The 18,571-nt window shown below is 41.4% G+C and overlaps 1 protein-coding gene and 2 pseudogenes across 9 annotated transcripts in view; all 3 read left to right on the top strand.

Annotated features, from left to right (window-relative positions):
- Nucleotides 1–18,571, top strand: part of DNAH12 (dynein axonemal heavy chain 12) — a 262,335-nt gene that overhangs the window by 15,050 nt on the left and 228,714 nt on the right. For all 9 annotated transcript variants that reach the window (XM_047447667.1, XM_011533468.2, XM_047447668.1 and 6 more), the window contains 2 exons: nt 17,101–17,182; nt 17,376–17,402. In XM_047447667.1, coding sequence (XP_047303623.1) covers nt 17,101–17,182; nt 17,376–17,402 — 109 coding nt within the window. The remainder of the gene's footprint in view (nt 1–17,100; nt 17,183–17,375; nt 17,403–18,571) is intronic.
- Nucleotides 4,627–4,733, top strand: RNU6-108P (RNA, U6 small nuclear 108, pseudogene; annotated as a pseudogene).
- RPS8P5 (ribosomal protein S8 pseudogene 5) lies at nt 10,012–10,692 on the top strand (annotated as a pseudogene).

Raw genomic sequence — 18,571 nt, 5'->3', positions numbered from 1 at the left:
TTAGAGAAGGGAGTTCTCTAGGAATTATACATTGTTCCTTTTTTTTTTTCTTTTTGAGACAGGGTCTTGCTCTGTCACCCAGGCTGGAGTATAGTGGCACGATCTCAGCTCACTGGAGCCTCAACCTCCTGGACTCTCGTGATCCTCCCATCTTAGCCTCTCAAGTGGCTGGGACTACAGGCGTACACCACCACACCTGGCTAATTTTTTGTATTTTTGAAGAGACATGGTTTCGCCATGTTGCCCAGTCTGGTCTCAAATTCCTGGGCTTAAGTGATCCATCTGCCTTGGCCTCCCAAAGTGCTGGAATTACAGGCATGAGCCACTGCATCAGGCCTAGATTGTTTTTACTCCATAACTTTTCATTATCTTGCATTATCATGTTGAACTGCTTGCAGTTTCACAAATATACTGTATTTTTCACAGTTTAGAGATACGCTCTGCAATTTCCCTCACTGCACTGTCTGCCTGAATACTTATCCTTGTTCTTCCAGGTTTAGTTTATGGATCACCTCCTCTAGAAAGCCTTCTCCTAATCCCTTTCATGCACGCATTTCTCTCACAACAGTTTATTTAGCAGATAGTAAGTATCTGCTGTTACACAGATACCTGTTACTGAGGAGACCATAGAAAACACAACAGACGGTGGCTTACACCTGTAATCCCAGCACTTTGGGAGGCCGAGGCAGGTGAATCACCTGAGGTCAGGAGTACGAGGCCAACCTGACCAACATGGCAAAACCCTGTCTCTACTAAAAATACAAAAATTAGCCAGGCGTCTTGGCGGGCATCTGTAATCCCAGCTACTGGAGAGGCTGAGACATGAGAATAGCTTGAACCGGGGAGGTGGAGGTTACAGTGAACTGAGAGCGAGCCATTGCACTCCAGCCTGGCAACAGAGCGAGACTCCATCTCAAAAAAAAGAAAAAAGAAAACACAACAGAAAGGATTGTGTCTTTAAGTTGTTTGTATGCTAGTGAGAGGAAACAGATAGTAAATATGTAAAAAACAAAAAAGTCATGTTAACCTTTTAGATGATGATAGATGCTACGAAGAAATAAGACAGTGGGGCCGGGCACGGTGGCTCACTCCTGTAATCCCAGCACTTTGGGAGGCTGAGGCGGGCAGATCACAAGGTCAGAAGATCAAGACCATCCTGGCTAACACAGTGAAACCCTGTCTCTACTAAAAAAAATACAAAAAATTAGCCGGGTATGGTGGCAGGCACCTGTAGTCCCAGCTACTCGGGAGGCTGAGGCAGGAGAAACACTTGAACCTGGGAGGCGGAGGTTGCAGTGAGCCAAGATTGTGCCACTGCACTCCAGCCTGGGTGACAGAGCAAGAGTCCATCTCAAAAAAAAAAAAAAAAGGAAAAGGAAAGAAATAAGACAGTGGGATAGAGAGAAGATATTCCCAGGAGCACCACAGGAAAGGCCTGTGGAGGTAATATGTAAGGAGAGATCCAGAGAATGAGAAGAAGACTGTCATCTAAGTAAACATGAGAAAAGCTCTCTAGCAAAGGGGATAGCAAGCATGAAATCCCTGAAATGTGAATGCTTTCAGTACATTCTAGGAACTGACAAAGACCAACATCTCTAGAGTATCATGAACCTGGGGAAGGGTAGTATCAGGTGAAGATGGAGAGGGAGGTGGGAGCAGATAGTGTAGGGCCTTGTCGGCCATGACAAAGAATTCAGATTTTATTTTTAAGTCCAGTGGAAACTACTGAAATGTTTCAAACAAGGAAGTGACATGAAACCTGATTTACATTTAAAAGATATCACTCTGGCTATTAAGAATAGACTGAGGTGGAGAGGAAGAGGGCAGGAATAGGGGGACACAAAGAGACCAGGGAGGATGCCACTACAGTAGCATAGATGAGAACTTATGGTGGTTTGGATAAGGCTGGAGACAGTGGAGGAGGAAAGTAGGTTTACAAGAGATGTGTGTCAGAGGCAGAATCAGTAGGATTGGCTGTTGGGTTAGCTTTGGTAGCTAGGTGGATAGTAGTACCATTTATAGAGAATTGAGGAAGTCCAGGAGGTGGGGGGTAAAAAGCAATAATTCTCTTTTGGAGCTTAAGTGCCATATAACATTTAAAGGGAAATACATTAATAGCAGTTGGATATATAAGAGAAGAAGTCTAGGCTGGAGATGTAAAAATTTGGGAGTCACCAGCATGTAGATGATTTTTAAAGCTATAGGGAATTGTTGGAATCACAGAGAGAGCGAGAGTGAGAGTTAGGCAAGAGAGAACACAGGAGAGAGCGCAAGTGAGCAAGTGAACTGAGAAAGGCAAAGGCCTAGGGCAAAAGGTTAGATGTGCGGAGAAAAGTCAACCAGCAGGTAGTGTAAGTATAACTGGTAAGGCAGGAGGAAAAGCAGAAGAGCAGGATGTCATAAGCACAGAGTATGTTATAACACAATGTACTTTTATTTTCTTTGTTGTCTTCTCCACTTTGACATGCTTAAGGAGAGGGATCTCAACACAAATCAAAGGGTTTGGCATGTTATTGTTGATGAATGAATGAAGGGATGAATGAATTTTTAGGGAAGAACCTTGCCTTTATTGTGCTTTATACAGATCTGTAAGTAGTACAACTTTTATTTTGGTGCTTAATTTAAAAACACTGCCTCAAAATTACCTGAAGCATAGTGCTGTATTAATACTGAGATTAGAATTGCTAGGCATTTCTTTGGGAAAAATGCATTTTGAATTATTGGTTTTGTTTTATTTTCCTGGATATGTTCACAATGTTAGGTTCATTTAAAAGAAAAAAAATGTTACTTCAGTCAGCGCTCACTTTGCTAAACTTTACCTCTTACTGAATTCCACTTCATTTTTTTCCTTCTCCTTATTAATAAGCTCATTCTTTGAAAACTAACTTTATCTTGTGTGTGTTTCTTTTCGCTACTTTCAAAAACTTTAAGTATATTTGGTTTATTCTCCTTGGATTTCAAACTCATTTTTAGCTGTCCAAAGGTCTAATGCAAAAACTTTCAGCCGGGCGTGGTGGCTCACGCCTGTAATCCCAGCACTTTGGGAGGCCAAGGCGGGCGGATCATGAGGTCAGGAGATTGAGACCATCCTGGCCAACATGGTGAAACACCGTCTCTGCTAAAAATACAAAAATTAGCTGGGCGTGGTAGTGCATGCCTGTAGTCCTAGCTACTCGGGAGGCTGAGGCAGGAGAATCACTTGAACCCTGGAGGCGGAGGTTGCAGTGAGCCAAGATCATGCCACTGCGCTCCAGCCTGGCGACAGAGCAAGACTCTGTCTCAAAAAAAAAAAAAAACTTTTAGAAACCATTTTTTAAAAAATACCTGATAAAATTAAAGGTTTTTTAAAAAAACTGCAAACATATCTTTCTGGGTGGCCATGGACTTTGGGATTCTCCATCCCCTTGCTATCTGCACCTGTTAGATGACAGGAGCGCAGACTTCTCTTTTTCAAAGGTGGAGTGAAGTCTGTGGATAGAGGGAGTTCCTGGGGTGAGGTAGGATGTAAAGAGTCATGGGCAGAAGTGGACCCCCTACTAGGACCAGTCCCTGGGAATGCTTGGCTGAGCCAGTATCATTTTGTAGCTTTCCAGAGTCTCAAGAATGAGCCTGCCTTCTTCCTTAGCTACTACCTCATCTCTTGATTCAAGCCAGTTTCTCTCCTTTACTGCATGTGGTTTCTCACCCAGTCATTTGAAATTATCAAGTTTTTATTTATTTGATTTTATTACAAAATTTTTTAGTTTAGCTATGATTATTCATGTTTTTGCCACCCCCTCTTTTTTTTTTCTGAGACAAGGTCTCACTCTTTTGCCCAGGCTGGAGGGCAGTGGTGCGATCTCTGTTCACTGCAACCTCTGCCTTCCTGGCTCAAGCAATCCTCCCACCTCAGCCTCCTGAGTAGCTGGGACTACAGGTGTGCGCCACCACACCTGGCTAATTTTTGTATTTTTTCGTAGAGATGAGGTCTCACCATATTGCCCAGGCTGGTCTTGAACTCAAGTGATCTACCTGCCTTGGCCTCCCAAAGTGCTGGGAGCCACTGTACCCGGCCTGTTTATAATCGCTAATATACAAATCAAAAACAGTCAGGTAGTGAAAAGGCTCACTTGTATGTTCTTCCCAGCTCTTTTTATTTATAGCCAGTAGGAGAAAACATGCTCCAGAAATTGTTGCTATGTTAAAGGGTGGCATTCATATATAAAGAACCGGAAGTCAGGCATATTTATGTTGGGATAATTACAGTGCAAGGCTAACTATGACTAGTGCCAACTAGTGCATACCAAAGTATAAGGTAAATTCCTTGGAAGTAGCAATCACTGAGAGCTAGACTCTTTAGGGAGAAATGATGGATGAAGGGAAGCCTGGCCAACGTCTTGAAGATTAACAAAGAAAGGAGGAGGATATCCAGGCACATTTTCTACTTCATGTGAGAAAGTCTTAGGAGTTTTAGTTTAGTACAGGCTTAGTAAGATTGAACAGGGAAATGAGGCTGCTCAAAAAGGCTAATTCAGTTTTAGGATACTTTAATAAATGTAGCATGTCTAGGAAATGGGAGAGAAAATTTTCACTCTGCACTGGTCAAACATATGGAATTCTGGGATCACACTTTAAGAGGGACTTTGAGTGCTCACTTTGGCAGCACATGCACAAAAATTGGAACAATACAGAGAAGATTAGTAAGGTGTCTGCGCAAAGATGACATACAAATTTGTGAGGTGTTCCATATAAAATAAAAATAAAAAGAGGGACACTGATAAACTAGAATAGCTACAGAAGTATCCTAGTCTATTTTTTATTGCTATAACTGAATACTACAGACTGGATAATTTATAAAGAATAGAGGTTTAGGCCAGGCGTGGTGGCTCATGCTTGTAATCCCAGCACTTTGGGAGGCCAAGGTGGGTGGATCACAAGGTCAGGAGTTCGAGACCAGCCTGGCCAACACAGTGAAACCCCGTCTCTATTAAAAATACAAAAATTAGCCAAGCATGGTGGCGGATGCCTATAATCCCAGCGACTCAGGTGGCTGAGGCAGGAGAATCACTTGAACCCGGGAGGCCGAGGTTACAGTGAGCTGAGATCGAGCCACTGTACTCCAGCTGGGCAATAGAGCTAGACTCTGTCTCAAAAAAAAAAAAAAATTGGGGTGTGGTGGCTCACGCCTGTAATCCCAGCACTTTGGGAGGCCAAGGCAGGAGGATCACCTGAGGTTGGGAGTTCGAGACCAGCCTGACCGACATGGAGAAACCCCATCTCTACTAAAAATACAAAATTAGCCAGGTGTGGTGGCACATGCCTGTAATCCCAGCTACTCGGGAGGCTGAGGCAGGAGAATCACTTGAACCCGGGAGGCGGAGGTTGTGGTGAGCCGAGATCATGCCATTGCACTCCAGCCTGGGCAACAAGAGCAAAACTCTGTCTTAAAAATAAAAAATAAAATAAAATAAAATATAAAAAAAATAGAGGTTTATTTAGCTCACAGTTCTAGAGACTGGGAAGTTCACGAGCATAGTGCTGACATCTTGTAAGGGCCTTCTTGCTGAGTGATAACATGATGGAAAGCATCACATGGTGAGAGGGCAAGACAGTCAGAGAGAGCTTGCTTTTATAACAAAGCCATTCCAATGATAATGAGCCCACTTCTTTGATAGTGACATTGATCCAATCATGAGGGCACAGCCCTCATTAACCCATTAATTCATTCATGAGGACAGAGGCATTAAGTTTCCAACACGTGAACTTTTGGGGGACACATTTAAACCATAGCAAGAGGAGAGTGAGGAAATTTGAAGGAAGCTGATTCACTTAATTAGACTATAGGCTCTGCCATCAATCAGGCCTGAGTTCATATACCATCTCTGCAGCTTATTAACCATGTGAATTTGGCAAGTTACCTAATTTATCTTCATGTTCCTATCGGTAATATGGAGATAGAAATAGTGTGTATGTTTTAGGAATGTTGTGAGAATTAAATGCATATAAAGATCTTAAGCCTATGCCTAAAACATAATAAACTCATAATAAACAGTAATTCATTGACAGGAATAATTAAAGGAACCAGATAAGTAAACATGAACAAAGAATATGACTTTTTTCTGTATAGCTTCAGAGACTAGAAGTTACAAACATACAGCTCAATATAAGAAATTTGTTTCTAAGAATATGAGCTAACTGGCCAGGCATAGTGACTCACACCTGTAATCCCAGCACTTTGGGAGGCCAAGGCGGGTGGATCACCAGAGGTCAGGAGTTCGAGACCAGACTATCCAATATGGTGAAACCCCATCTCTACTAAAAATACAAAAATTAGCCGGGCATGGTGGCATATGCCTGTAATCTCAGCTACTTGGGATGCTGAGGCAGGAGAATCACTGGAACCTGGGAGGTGGAGGCTGCAGTGATTAGAGATCACACCACTGCACTTCAGTCAGGCAACTGGGCCAGACTCTGTCTCAAAAAAAAAAAAAAAAAAAGCTAGCTAACAATAAATTGGGCTACCTCAGAAAGTGATCATGGTGGTGGTGGGGTGGGGGAACAGAGCAAGATGGTATAATAGAAGGCTCCACTGAACATACCCCTCAACAGGAACACAAAATTTAACAATTTTCTACACACAAAAAAACACCTTCATAAGAACCAAAAAATCAGATGAGAACTCACAATACCTTGTTTTAACTTCATATTACTGAAAGGCACTGAAGAGGGCAGGAAAGAGTCTTGAATTGCTGATACCAATCACCCCCAATCCCAGCAGTGGCTGCATGGCATGGAGAGAGAATCTGTGCACTTGGGGATGGAGAGTGCAGTGATTGTGAGACTTTGCATTGAACTCAATGCTGCCTTGTCACAGTGGAAAGCAAAACTGAGCTGAACTCAGGTGATGCCTGCCCACAGAGGGAGCATATAGGCCAGCCCCAGCCAGAGGGGAATCGCACATCCCAGTGATCAGAACTTGAGTTCTGGGAAGCCTTATCATGGAGTGCTAAAGTACCCTGGGGCCCTAAATAAACTTGAAAGGCAGTCTAGGCCACAAGGACTGCAACTCCTAGGTAAGTCCTAGTGCTGAGCTGAGCTCAGATCCAGTGGACTGCAGGGGCACATGACCTACTGAGACACCAGCAGGTGCTGTTAAGGGAGTACTTGTGCCACTCCTTTCCTAACCCCTAACCCCAGGCTGCACAGTTTGCAGCTCCAAAAGAGACCCTTCCTTCCGCATGAAGAGAGGAAAGGGAAGAGCAAAGAGAATTTTGTCTTGCATCTGGGATACCCGCTCAGTCACACTAGGATAGGGCACCAGGCAGAGTCATGAGAACCCCATTCTGGGCCCTAGCTTCTGGATTACATTTATTGACACATCGTTGGCCAGAAGGGAACCTGCTGCCTTGAAGGGAAGGATGCGGTCATGGCAGGACCCATCACTTACTGACTAAAGAGCCCTTGGGCCTTGAATAACTATCAGCAATACTCAGGTAGTACACTGTGGGCCTTGAGTGAGACTCTGAGGCATGCTGGCTTGTCTGAAATTATCCAGGTTAGGCCAAGCACATTCACAGCCCTGTTGGCTATGGTGACAGATGCCATCTGCTTGAAAAAAGCAGAGGAAAAAGTAAAGGGAAATTTGTTTTGCGTCTTAGGTAGCAGGTAGGGCACAGTGGGGTAGAGCACCAAGCGGGCTCTTGGGGTCCCTGATTCTAGGCCTTGGCTCTTGGATGGCATTTCTGGACCTGCCCTGGGCCAGAGGGGAGCCCAATGCCCTGAAGGGTGAGTCCCAGGCCACGCAGCATTCACCACAAACTGATTGAAGAGCCCTTGGGCCTTAAGTGAACATTGGGAGTAGCCTGGCAGTGATCCATATGGGCCTGTGACATTGGTGGCCGTGGGGTGAGGCTCCTCTGCCTGTGAAAGGGGAGGGAAAAGTAGGAAGGACTGAGTCTCATGGTTCGAGTGCTAGCCCAGCAGCAGTATAATAAGACACCAGGTAGATTTCTAAGGTTTTTGACTCCAGTCCCTAGCTCCCAGTTGGGATCTCTGGACCCACCTGGGGCTTGGGGAACTCACCTCCTGAAAGGGAGGGACAGAAGCCTGTCTTGCTTCACCACCTGCTGATTGTAGAGACCTACGGCTTTGAGTGAACATAGGTGGTAGCCAGGTAGTGGATACAGTGGGTCTTGGGCAAGACCCAGTGCTATGCTGGCTTCAGATCTGACCTAGCACAGTTGAGTGGTGGTGGCCATAGCAGTGCTTGTGTCATCCCACCTCCAGCTCCAGGCAGCTCAGCACACAGAGAGAGGGTCTGAATGTTTGGGAGAGAGTAAGGGGAAAAAAACCAAGAGTTTCTGTCTGGTAATCCAGAGAATACTTCTGGATCTTATCCATGACCACAAGGTGATACTTCTATGAGTCTGCAAGAACCATGATGTTACTGGACTTGGGGTGCCCCCTAATGCAGATATGGCTTAGATCACAACACCCAAGTTCCTTCAAATACCTGGAAAGCCTTCCCAAGGACAGACACAAACAAGCCCAGACTGCGAAGACTGCAATAAGTACTTAACTCTTCAGTGCCCAGACACTGAAGAACTTCTACAAGCATCAACACCATCCAGAAAAACATGACCTCACCAAACTAAATAAGGCACCAGGAACTAATCCTGGAGAAACAAAGATATGTGACCTTTCAGACAGAGAATTCAAAATAGTGGTTTTGTGGAGACTCAAAGAAATTCGAGATAACACAGAGAAAGAATTTCGAACTTTATCAGATAAACTTAACAAGGAGATTGAAATAATTAAAAATCAAGCAGAAATTCTGGAGTTGAAAAATGCAATTGAAATACTGAAGAATGGATCAGCGTTCTTTTAATAGCAGTTTTAATTACAGAATTGATCAAGCAGAAAGAATTAGTGAACCTGAAGACAGGCTATTTGAAAATACATAAAGGAGACAAAAAAGAATAAAAAAGAATGAAACATGCCTACAAGATCTAGAAAATAGCCTCCAAAGGGCAAATCTAAGAGTAATTGGCCTTAAAGAGGAGGTAGAGAAAGAGACAGGATAGAAGGTTTATTCCAAGAGATAATATCAGAGAACTTCCCAAACCTAGAAAAAGATAATTGACATTCAAGTACAAGAAGATTATAGAACACCAAGCAGATTTAACATTTAACCCAAAGAAGATGACCTCAAGGCTTTTTTTTTTTTTTTTTTTTTTTTGAGATGGAGTGGAGTCTTGCTCTGTCGCCCAGGCTAGAGTACAGTGGTGTGATCTCAGCTCACTGCAACCTCAGCCTCCTGGGTTCAAGGGATTCTTCTGCCCCAGCCTCCTGAGTAGCTGGGATTACAGCACATGCCGCCACACCCAGATATTTTTTTTGTATTTTTAGTAGATATGGGGTTTTGCCATGTTGGCCAGGTTGGTCTCGAACTCCTAACCTCAAGTTATCCACCTCCCTCAGCCTCCTAAAGTGCTGGGATTACAGACGTGAGCCACCACGCCTGGCCCCTCAAGGCATTTAATAATCAAACTCCCAAAGCTCAAAGATAAAGAAAGGATCCTAAAAGCAACAGAAGAAACAAATAACATACAATGGAACTCCAGTATGTCTGGCAGCAGACTTCAGTGGAAACCTTACAAGCCAAGAGAAAGTGGAATGAAATATTTAAAGTGCTGAAGGAACCTTAGACTACTGCATCTGGAAAAAATATGCTTTAAACATGAAAGAGAAATAAAGACTTTCCTAGACAAACAAAAGCTAAAGGATTTCATCAACATCAGACCTGTCCTACAAGAAATGCTAAAGAAGGTACTTCAATCAGAAAGAAAAGGATGTTAATGAGCAGCAAGAAATCATCTGAAAGTACAAAACTCAGTGGTAATATTAAGTACAGAGAAAAAACACAGAATATTATAACACTGTAACTGTGGTGTGTAAACTACTCTTAAGTAGAAAGACTAAAAGATGAACCAATCAAAACAATAACAATTTTTCAAGACATAGTACAGATGTCGAGCAATGGGCTCTCGTGACAACTGGCACAAGTGCTGCAAGACAGGGGCAAGAGTAAGCCCTCCCACAAGAAGTGGAAGTATGAGCTGGAGTGCCCCGCTGCCAACACCAAGATTGGCCCCCGCTGCGTCCACACAGTCTGTGTGCAGGGACGTAACAAGAAATACTGTACCTTGAGGCTGGATGTGGGGAATTTCTCCTGGGGCTCCAAGTGATGTAGGTGCAAAACAAGGATCATCAATGTTGTCTACAGTGTGTCCAATAACAAACTGGTCCGTACCAAGATGCTATTGAAGAACTGCATCGTGCTCAGTGACAGCACACTCTACTGACAGTGGTGAAAATCCCACTATACATTGTCCCTGGGCTGCAAGAAGGGGGCCAAGCTGACTCCTGAGGAGGAAGAGATTTTAAACAAAAAACAATCTAAAAAAATTTAGAAGAAATATGATGAAAGGAAAAAGAATGCCAAAATCAGCAGTCTTCTGGAGGAGCAGTTCCAGCAGGGCAAGCATCTGGCATGTATCACATCAAGGCCAGAGCAGTGTGGCCCAGCAGATGGCTATGTGCTAGAGGCCTGGGAGTTGGAGTTTTATCTTTGGAAAATCAAGGCCCAGAAAGGCAAATAAATCCTCATCCTTTCTGTATTTGCTTATGTAATAAAGGTGTTTATTGTTCTGTAACAAGAAAAAAAAAGACATAGAAAGTATAATAAGATATAAATAGAAACAACAAAAAGTTAAAAAGCAGGGGGATGAAATCAAGGTGTGTAGAGTTTTATTACTGGCTGGGCATGGTGACTCATGCCCAGCTTAAACATTCAAAAAATTTGAATTGAACTTAAAACATTCAAAGAATTTGAAATAATATCAAGCACCTTCTCTGACCACAATGGAATAAAACTAGAAATCAATAACAAGAGGAATTTTGGAAACTATACAAACAGATGGAAATTAAAAAATATGCTTTTGAGTGACCAGTGAGTCAATGAAGAAATTAAGAAGGAAATTGAAAATTTTCTTGAAACAAATGATAATGGAAATGCAACATATGAAAACCTATGGGATACAGTGAAAGCAGTACTAAAAGAGAAATTTATAGCTATAAGTGTCTACATCAACAAAGAAGAAAAACTTCAAATAAATAACCTAGTGATGCATCTTAACAAATGACAAAAACAAGAGCAAACCAAACCAAAATTAGCTGAAGAAAAGAAATAATAAAGATCAGAGGAGAAATAAATGACATTGGAATGAAGAAAACAATACAAAAGATGAATGAAACAGAAAGTTGATTTTTTTGAAAAGTTAAACAAAATAGACAAACCTTTAACCAGACTAGGAAAAAAAGAGAGAGGATCCAAATAAATAAAATCAGAGATGAAAAAGAAGACATTACAATTGATACTGCAGAAATTCAAAGGATCATTAGTGGCTATGATGAGCAACTGTATGCCAATAAATTGGAATATCTAGAAGAAATGGATACATTTGTAGACAAATACAACCTACAGAGATTGAACCATGAAGAAATCCAAAACCTGAACAGACCAATAACGTAATGAGATTGAAGCCATAATAAAACGTCTTCCAGCAAAAAAAGCCCAGGCCCTTATGGCTTCACTGCTGAATTCTATTAAACATTTAAAGAGGAACTAATACCAATGCTACTTAAACTAGTCTGAAAAATAGAGGAGGAGGGAATACTTCCAAACTCATTTTTTGAGGCCAGTATTACCCTGATACCAAAACCAGACAAAGATACATCAAAAAAAGGAAACTGCAGGCCAGTATCACAGATGAATATTGATACAAAAATCCTCAACAAAATACTAGCAAAACAAATTCAACGACACATTAAAAAGGTCATTCATCGGCCAGGCGCGATGGCTCACGCCTGTAATCCCAGCACTGTGGGAGGCTGAGGCAGGTGGATCACCTGTGGTCAGGAGTTTGAGACCAGCCTGGCCAACATGGTGAAACCTCATCTCTACTAAAAATACAAAAATTAGCTGGTATGGTGGTGGGAACCTGTAATCCCAGCTACTCAGGAGGCTAAGACAGGAGAATTGCTTAGAACCCAGATGGCAGAGGTTACAGTGAGCGAAGATCATGCCACTGCACTCCAGCCTGGGCAACAAAGAGCAAAACTCCGTCTCAAAAAAAAAGAAATTGAAAATCCCAGAAAATAATGGAAAGATATTCCATGTTCATTTATTGGCAGAATTAATATTGTTTTTTTTTTTTTGAGACAGAGTTTAGCTCTTGTTGCCCAGGCTGGAGTGCAATGGCATGATCTCGGCTCACCGCAACCTCCGCCTCCCGGGTTCAAGGGATTCTCCTGCCTCAAGCCTCCCGAGTAGCTGGGATTACAGGCATGCCCCATCACACCTGGCTAATTCTGTATTTTTAGTAGAGATGGGGTTTCTCCATGTTGGTCAGGCTGGTCTCAAACTCCTGACCTCAGGGGATCCCCCCCCCTTGGCCTCCCAAAGGGCTGGGATTATAGGCGTGAGCCACCGCGCCTGGCCCAGCAGAATTAATATTGTTAAAGTGTCTGTACTACCCCCCAAATATCTACAGATTCAATGCAATCTCTATCAAAATACCAATGACATTCTTCACAGATATAGAAAAAACAATCCTAGGCCGGGTGCAGTGGCTCACGCCTGTAATCCCAGCACTTTGGGAGGCCAAGGTGGGTGGATCACCTGAGGTCAGGAGTTCGAGACCAGCCTGACCAACATGGAGAAACCCTGTCTCTACTAAAAATACAAAATTAACCAGGCATGGTGGTGCATGCCTGTAATCCCAGCTACTCAAGAGGCTGAGGCAGGAGAATCGCTTGAACCCAGGAGGCGGAGGTTGCGGTGAGCCGAGATTGCACCATTGCCCTCCCGCCTGGGCAACAAGAGCGAAACTCTGTCTCAAAAAAAATAAATAGATTAAAAAAAGACTTAAATCTAAGACTACGAAACTACTACAAGAAAACACTGGGTGAAACTCTCCAGAATATTGGAGTAGGAAAAGATTTCTTGAGTAATACCCCACGAGTACAGGCAGCCAAAGCAAAAATAGACAAATGGGATCATATCAAGTTAAAAAGCTTCCTCACAGCAAAGGAAATAACAACATGATGAGACAACCCATAGAATGGGAAAAAATATTTGCAAACTACCCATCTGACAAGGGATTAATAACCGTAATATATAAAGAGCTCTAACAACTCTAATATAGTTTGGATGTGTGACCCCACTGAAATCTCATGTTGAATTGTATTCCTCAGTATTGGAGGTGAGGCCTGGTGGGAGGTGATTGGATCATGTGGGTAGATGTCTCATAAATGGTTAAGCACCATCCCCTTGATGCTGTCCTCATGATAGTGAGTTCTCGTGAGATCTGGTTGCTTCAAAGTGTGCCTCCCACCCCTGCTCTTGCTCCTGCTTTCGCCATGTGACATGCCTGCTCTTCCTTCACCTTCCACCATGATTATAAGCTTCCTGAGGCCTCCCCAACAGCAGATGCTGCTATGCTTCCTGTGCAGCCTGCAGAACCAGGAGCCAATTAAACCTCTTTTCTTTATAAATTACCCAGTCTCAGATATTTCTCTCTTTTTAAAAAATTTCCTTTGTTTTTGTTTTTTGGAAACAAAGTCTCACTGTGTTGCCCAGTCTAGTTTCAAACTCCTGGGCTCAAGCAATCCTCCTGCCATGGCCTCCCAAAGGACTGGAATTACAGGCATGAGTCACCACACCTGTCTTAGTTATTTATAGCAATGCAAGAATGGCCTATTACAAACTCTATAGGAAAAGAAAAACTAATAATCTGATTTAAAAATAGGCAAAAGATCTAAATAGACATTTCTCAAAAGAAGACATGAAAATAGCAAACAGGGGCAGATCACCTGAGGTCAGGAGTTTGAGACGAGCCTGGCCAACATGGTGGAACCCTGTCTCTGATAAAAATACACAAATTAGCTGGGTGTGGCGGTGGGTGCCTGTAATCCCAGCTACTCAGGAGGCTGAGGCAGGAGAATTGCTTGAACCTGGGAGGCGGAGGTTGCAGTGAGCTGAGATAGTGCCACCCACACCCCAACCTGGGTGACAGAGTAAGACTCTGTCTCAAAACAAAACAACAACAACAACAAAAAAGAGGCCGGGCGCAGTGCTCACGCCTATAATCCCAGCACTTTGGGAGGTCGAAGTGGGCAGATCACAAGGTCAGGAAATCGAGACCATCCTGGCCAACTGGGTGAAACCCGTCTCTACTAAAAATACAAAAATTAGCTGGGCGTGGTGGTGCACACCTGGAGTCCCAGCTACTTGGGAGGCTGAGGCAGAATAGCTTGAACCAGGGAGTCAGAGGTTGCAGTGAGCTGAGATCACGCCACCACACTCCAGCCTGGCAACAGAGCCAGACTCTGTCTCAAAAAAAAAAAAAAAAAAAAGATCTGGAAACAACCTCAGTGTCCATAAACAGATGAATGGGCTGCTCTGTCTATGGAGTAGCCATTCTTTTGTTTCTTTACTTCTCTAATAAACTTACCTAAAAAAAATAAAACAAAACAAAAACAAAAAACCCAGATGAATGGATAAAGAAAATTGGTACATATACATAATGGAGTACCATTCAGCCATAAAAAAAGAATGAGAACCTATCATTTGCAACAACATGGATGGTCATTATGTTAAGTGAAATAAGGCAGGCACAGAAAGACAAACATTGCATGTTTTCACTTATCTGTGGGCACTAAAAATTAAAGTCATTCACTTATCTGTGGGTGCTAAAAATTAAACTCTTTGAATTCATGGAAATAGATTGTAGAAGGCTGGTTACCAGAGGCTGTGAATGGTAGTGGGGAAGATGAGAGGAGGGAATTGGGGATGGTTAATGGGTACAAAAAAAGAAAAAAGGCCAGGCACAGTGGCTCACACCTGTAATCCCAGCACTTTGGGAGGCCGAGGCAGGTGGATCACTTGAGGTCAGGAGTTTGAGACCAGCCTGGCCAAAATGGTGAAACCCCATGTCTACTAAAAATACAAAAAATTAGCCAGGCCTGGTAGCCTGAGCCTATAATCCCAGCTACTTGGGAGGCTGAGGCAGGAGAATTGCTTGAACTGGGTGGCAGAGGTTTTGGTGAGTCGAGATCATGCCACTGTATTCCAGCCTGGGGGACAGAGTGAGACTCTGTCTCAAAAAAAAAAAAAAAAAAAAAAAAGAATAAGACATACTATTTGCTAGCATGACAGGGTAACTATAATAAAAATAATTTAATTGTACATTTTAAAATAACTAAAAGTATAATTGAATTGTTTGTAACACAAAGGATAAATGCTTGAGGTGATGGATACCCTATTTACCTTGATATGATTATTATGCATAGCATGCCTGTATCAAAATATCTCATGTAATCCATAAATACATATGCCTACTATGTACCCACAAAAATTTAAAAAATAAAGTGATGACTGCCACCTCTCTTTCAACATCCCCACCCATCTCACAGTACTCTCATGGTTCTCTCAAGCTGTGCCCCTGGAGTACCATGGGTACAGCTTGATATTGCTGAGAGGATTCATCTATTAGGTAAGGTACCAAACTAGATATGCAAGATCATTTCCAAATATGCTATTCTGATCATTCATTCACCAGATGCTTATTGAGCTCCTACATCTTCATGGATACTATTTAAGTGGTGTGGGGAGAGCAGTGAGCAAAATAGACATGGTCCTTGTCTTTATGCTACTTACCAGTCTTTGGTTTTATAGCTCCAGTGGACACCCTTTCCTTCAGATTTTTTTTCTTTTTTTTTTTTTTTTTGTTTCTCCTCTTACCTACCTGATGGTATCTCCTTTGCTCATTCAATTGTTGTTTTTCGTCATTCCTGTCGTACTTGACACCCTACAATTTTTTCTGAATTCTCTTTTAATTTCCCTTGTATGCTTTTTTCTTTGGCCATCTCTTCTAGTATATCTAGCATTATAGACTATTAGATTTGTCTTCCTAAATATGTTTCCATGCTCAAAACCTCTCGATTACTCCCCATTGTCTATTGGATTAAAAAGCTTGTTTTTGAGGCCTTTAGCTGGATATTTCAATCCACTTCTCCAGACTTATCTCCACTTGACACTGTCACCTTTGGGTGGATTGAACGACCCCTGCTTCCTTTTTCCCCCTTTGATCCTTTCCTTGCCTTCCTGTTTCTTGGGGTCTTTGTTTTTTTAGATCCCAGGAAAACTATGTCTCCACCTGAAATCCTCTCTTTCATTTAAAGCTCATTGCTAATGGTAACATGTATGTGGCCTTCACAGATGAAAGTGAACTAACTTGTCCCCTCTCTGAACCACAGGGTACCTATATGGCACTCTGTTTTTTTCTTCTCACTTAAACAGTTCATCAGTCCTTGAGATTTGTTGTTATATTTTAATAGGATCTAGTATTGTGATTTACATAATATAGGGATTCAATAAATATTTATTGACAGATTAAGGGATTATACAATAGGATTATACAACTTAATTTAAAGAGAAAATTATATCTTATGAATGCAAAAAAAATCTCTTAACAGTTTTGAAGGTAAACTGTTTATTGAGCAGCTACTATGTGCCAGGTACTGTTCTAGGCACTGAGGATAACCACAGTGAATAAAACAGTTTACAAAATATTCTATATCAAACGATGGTAAGTGCTTTGAAGCAAGATAAGTGAGGATAAAAAGGATGGATATCGAAGGAGGTACTACTTAATATGGGGGTACGGGGAGGCTTCTCTGACAGACCGGCAGACATTTGAACAGAGATAATACATATAAGTGCCCACTATTCATTGGGATTAATTTTTAAATGGTCAGTAAGTTATACTTGAAAAAATTTGATTTTGATTTTTAGTTTCACCCTGTTACATATATATGCATTATTTAAAAATTAAGGTCTCATTGATAATGTCTATTGGGATTTGTTTCTCATAAAAAATTCAGTAAGATAACTCTTGAATATCTCTTAGTATAGTTGGAAAAATGCTTAAATTGTAATGTTTTAGTAACTTATGCTAATGTTATCAAGAGAGTCATATTTCTAACTATAAATTTCAGAATTGATGGAGCCAAAAGAAATTTAGACAGAACACTGGGTAAAAGAACACCTCTATTACCACCACCTGATTATCCTCAAACTGTAAGTTTATGTTTTCTCGTTAAAAAGTTTATCCTTATATCATTTTAATTTGTAGTTAAGACAATCTCAATATAACTGATGTTTTTAAAAGGAATAATAGATATATTTAAACTATATATTTAATTTTTAAACAATTTAAATTAATTTTAAAATGTTCTCCTTGATTTAATTATATCCTGTTTGTTTTTGACAGATGACCAGTGAAATGAAAAAAAAAGGAGTGAGTTCAAGTTTTTATATTTCTTGTTTGAAAATGTTCAAAGAAATTATTGCAAAGTAGTTTCATCTAAGACCACCTGCTAAGTCCCATTCTAGAAAATAAATAAATTTAGAAACTGAGGTTTTTATTTTCTCTTCCCAAGGGAGCAAACATGTCATGAACAACAATATGGCAATATAGATTTTTTTGTTTTTTTGTTTTAAACAAGGTCTTGCTCTGTCACCAAGGCTGGAGGGCAGTGGTGCGATCTCGGGTCACTGCAGCCCCACCACTCAGGCTCAAGCAGTCCTCCCACCTCAGCCTCCTGAGTAGCTGGGACTGCAATCACATGCCACCATGCTTGGATAATTTTTAAAATTATTTGTAGAAATGAGATCTCACTATATTGCCCAGGCTGGTCTTGAACTCCTGGACTCAAGTGATCCTCCCACCTTGGCCTATCAAATTGCTAGAAATACAGGTTTGAGCCACTGTGCCCGGCCAATATGGGTTTTAAGAATTACATTTTTGTTGGCATTCACTATTTGCAGATTAATTACGTAAATATTTTCATTCTTATTCCAAACAACTGAAAAAAAACTCAAAGTGGCAGTTATAAAGGAACTCCATCTCTCTTTTTCATTAGGGTAATAATTGAGTATTCTAATATTGATATAATGATATAGTAGCCACTCAGCAAATATGTATTTAGAATCTGTTATGTGCTTGCCAAATGCTAGGTGCTAGAGATTAAAAAAAAAAAAGACACTGACTGCATGAGTGGCAACAGGGGACTTATGATATGATTGGTGGAAAGACAAAAACATCTAAAATTTCTTTACTAGCAAAGGATAACAGAAACGTATGGAACTGGAGACGTGAAAGAGGAAATCATGCAGCATGTTTTCAGATGGGGTATAAGCTTCTCAAGTCCCTTAAAATTCACTTTGGGGGATAGAGGCTGAAGATGTGAATTCAACCTCTATGAATTCAGGATATTTGGAAGAAACTCTTTTTAGCTTTTCCTTGTTTTGGTTTTGGTTTTTAAAATGCTCTTCTTCCTCCTTACCTGGCCACCCGTTTCTGGAGAATTTGGATGTGGATCTTTCTTTTTACTAGGTATAATTACTGATACACAACATTCCCAAAACATTAATAAATATTTAATGTACAAATTGCCAAATGTATTT

Source organism: Homo sapiens, chromosome 3 (assembly GCF_000001405.40).
Source record: "Homo sapiens chromosome 3, GRCh38.p14 Primary Assembly".
Lineage (NCBI taxonomy): Eukaryota > Metazoa > Chordata > Mammalia > Primates > Hominidae > Homo > Homo sapiens.
This window is presented reverse-complemented; position numbering and strand designations above follow the sequence as displayed.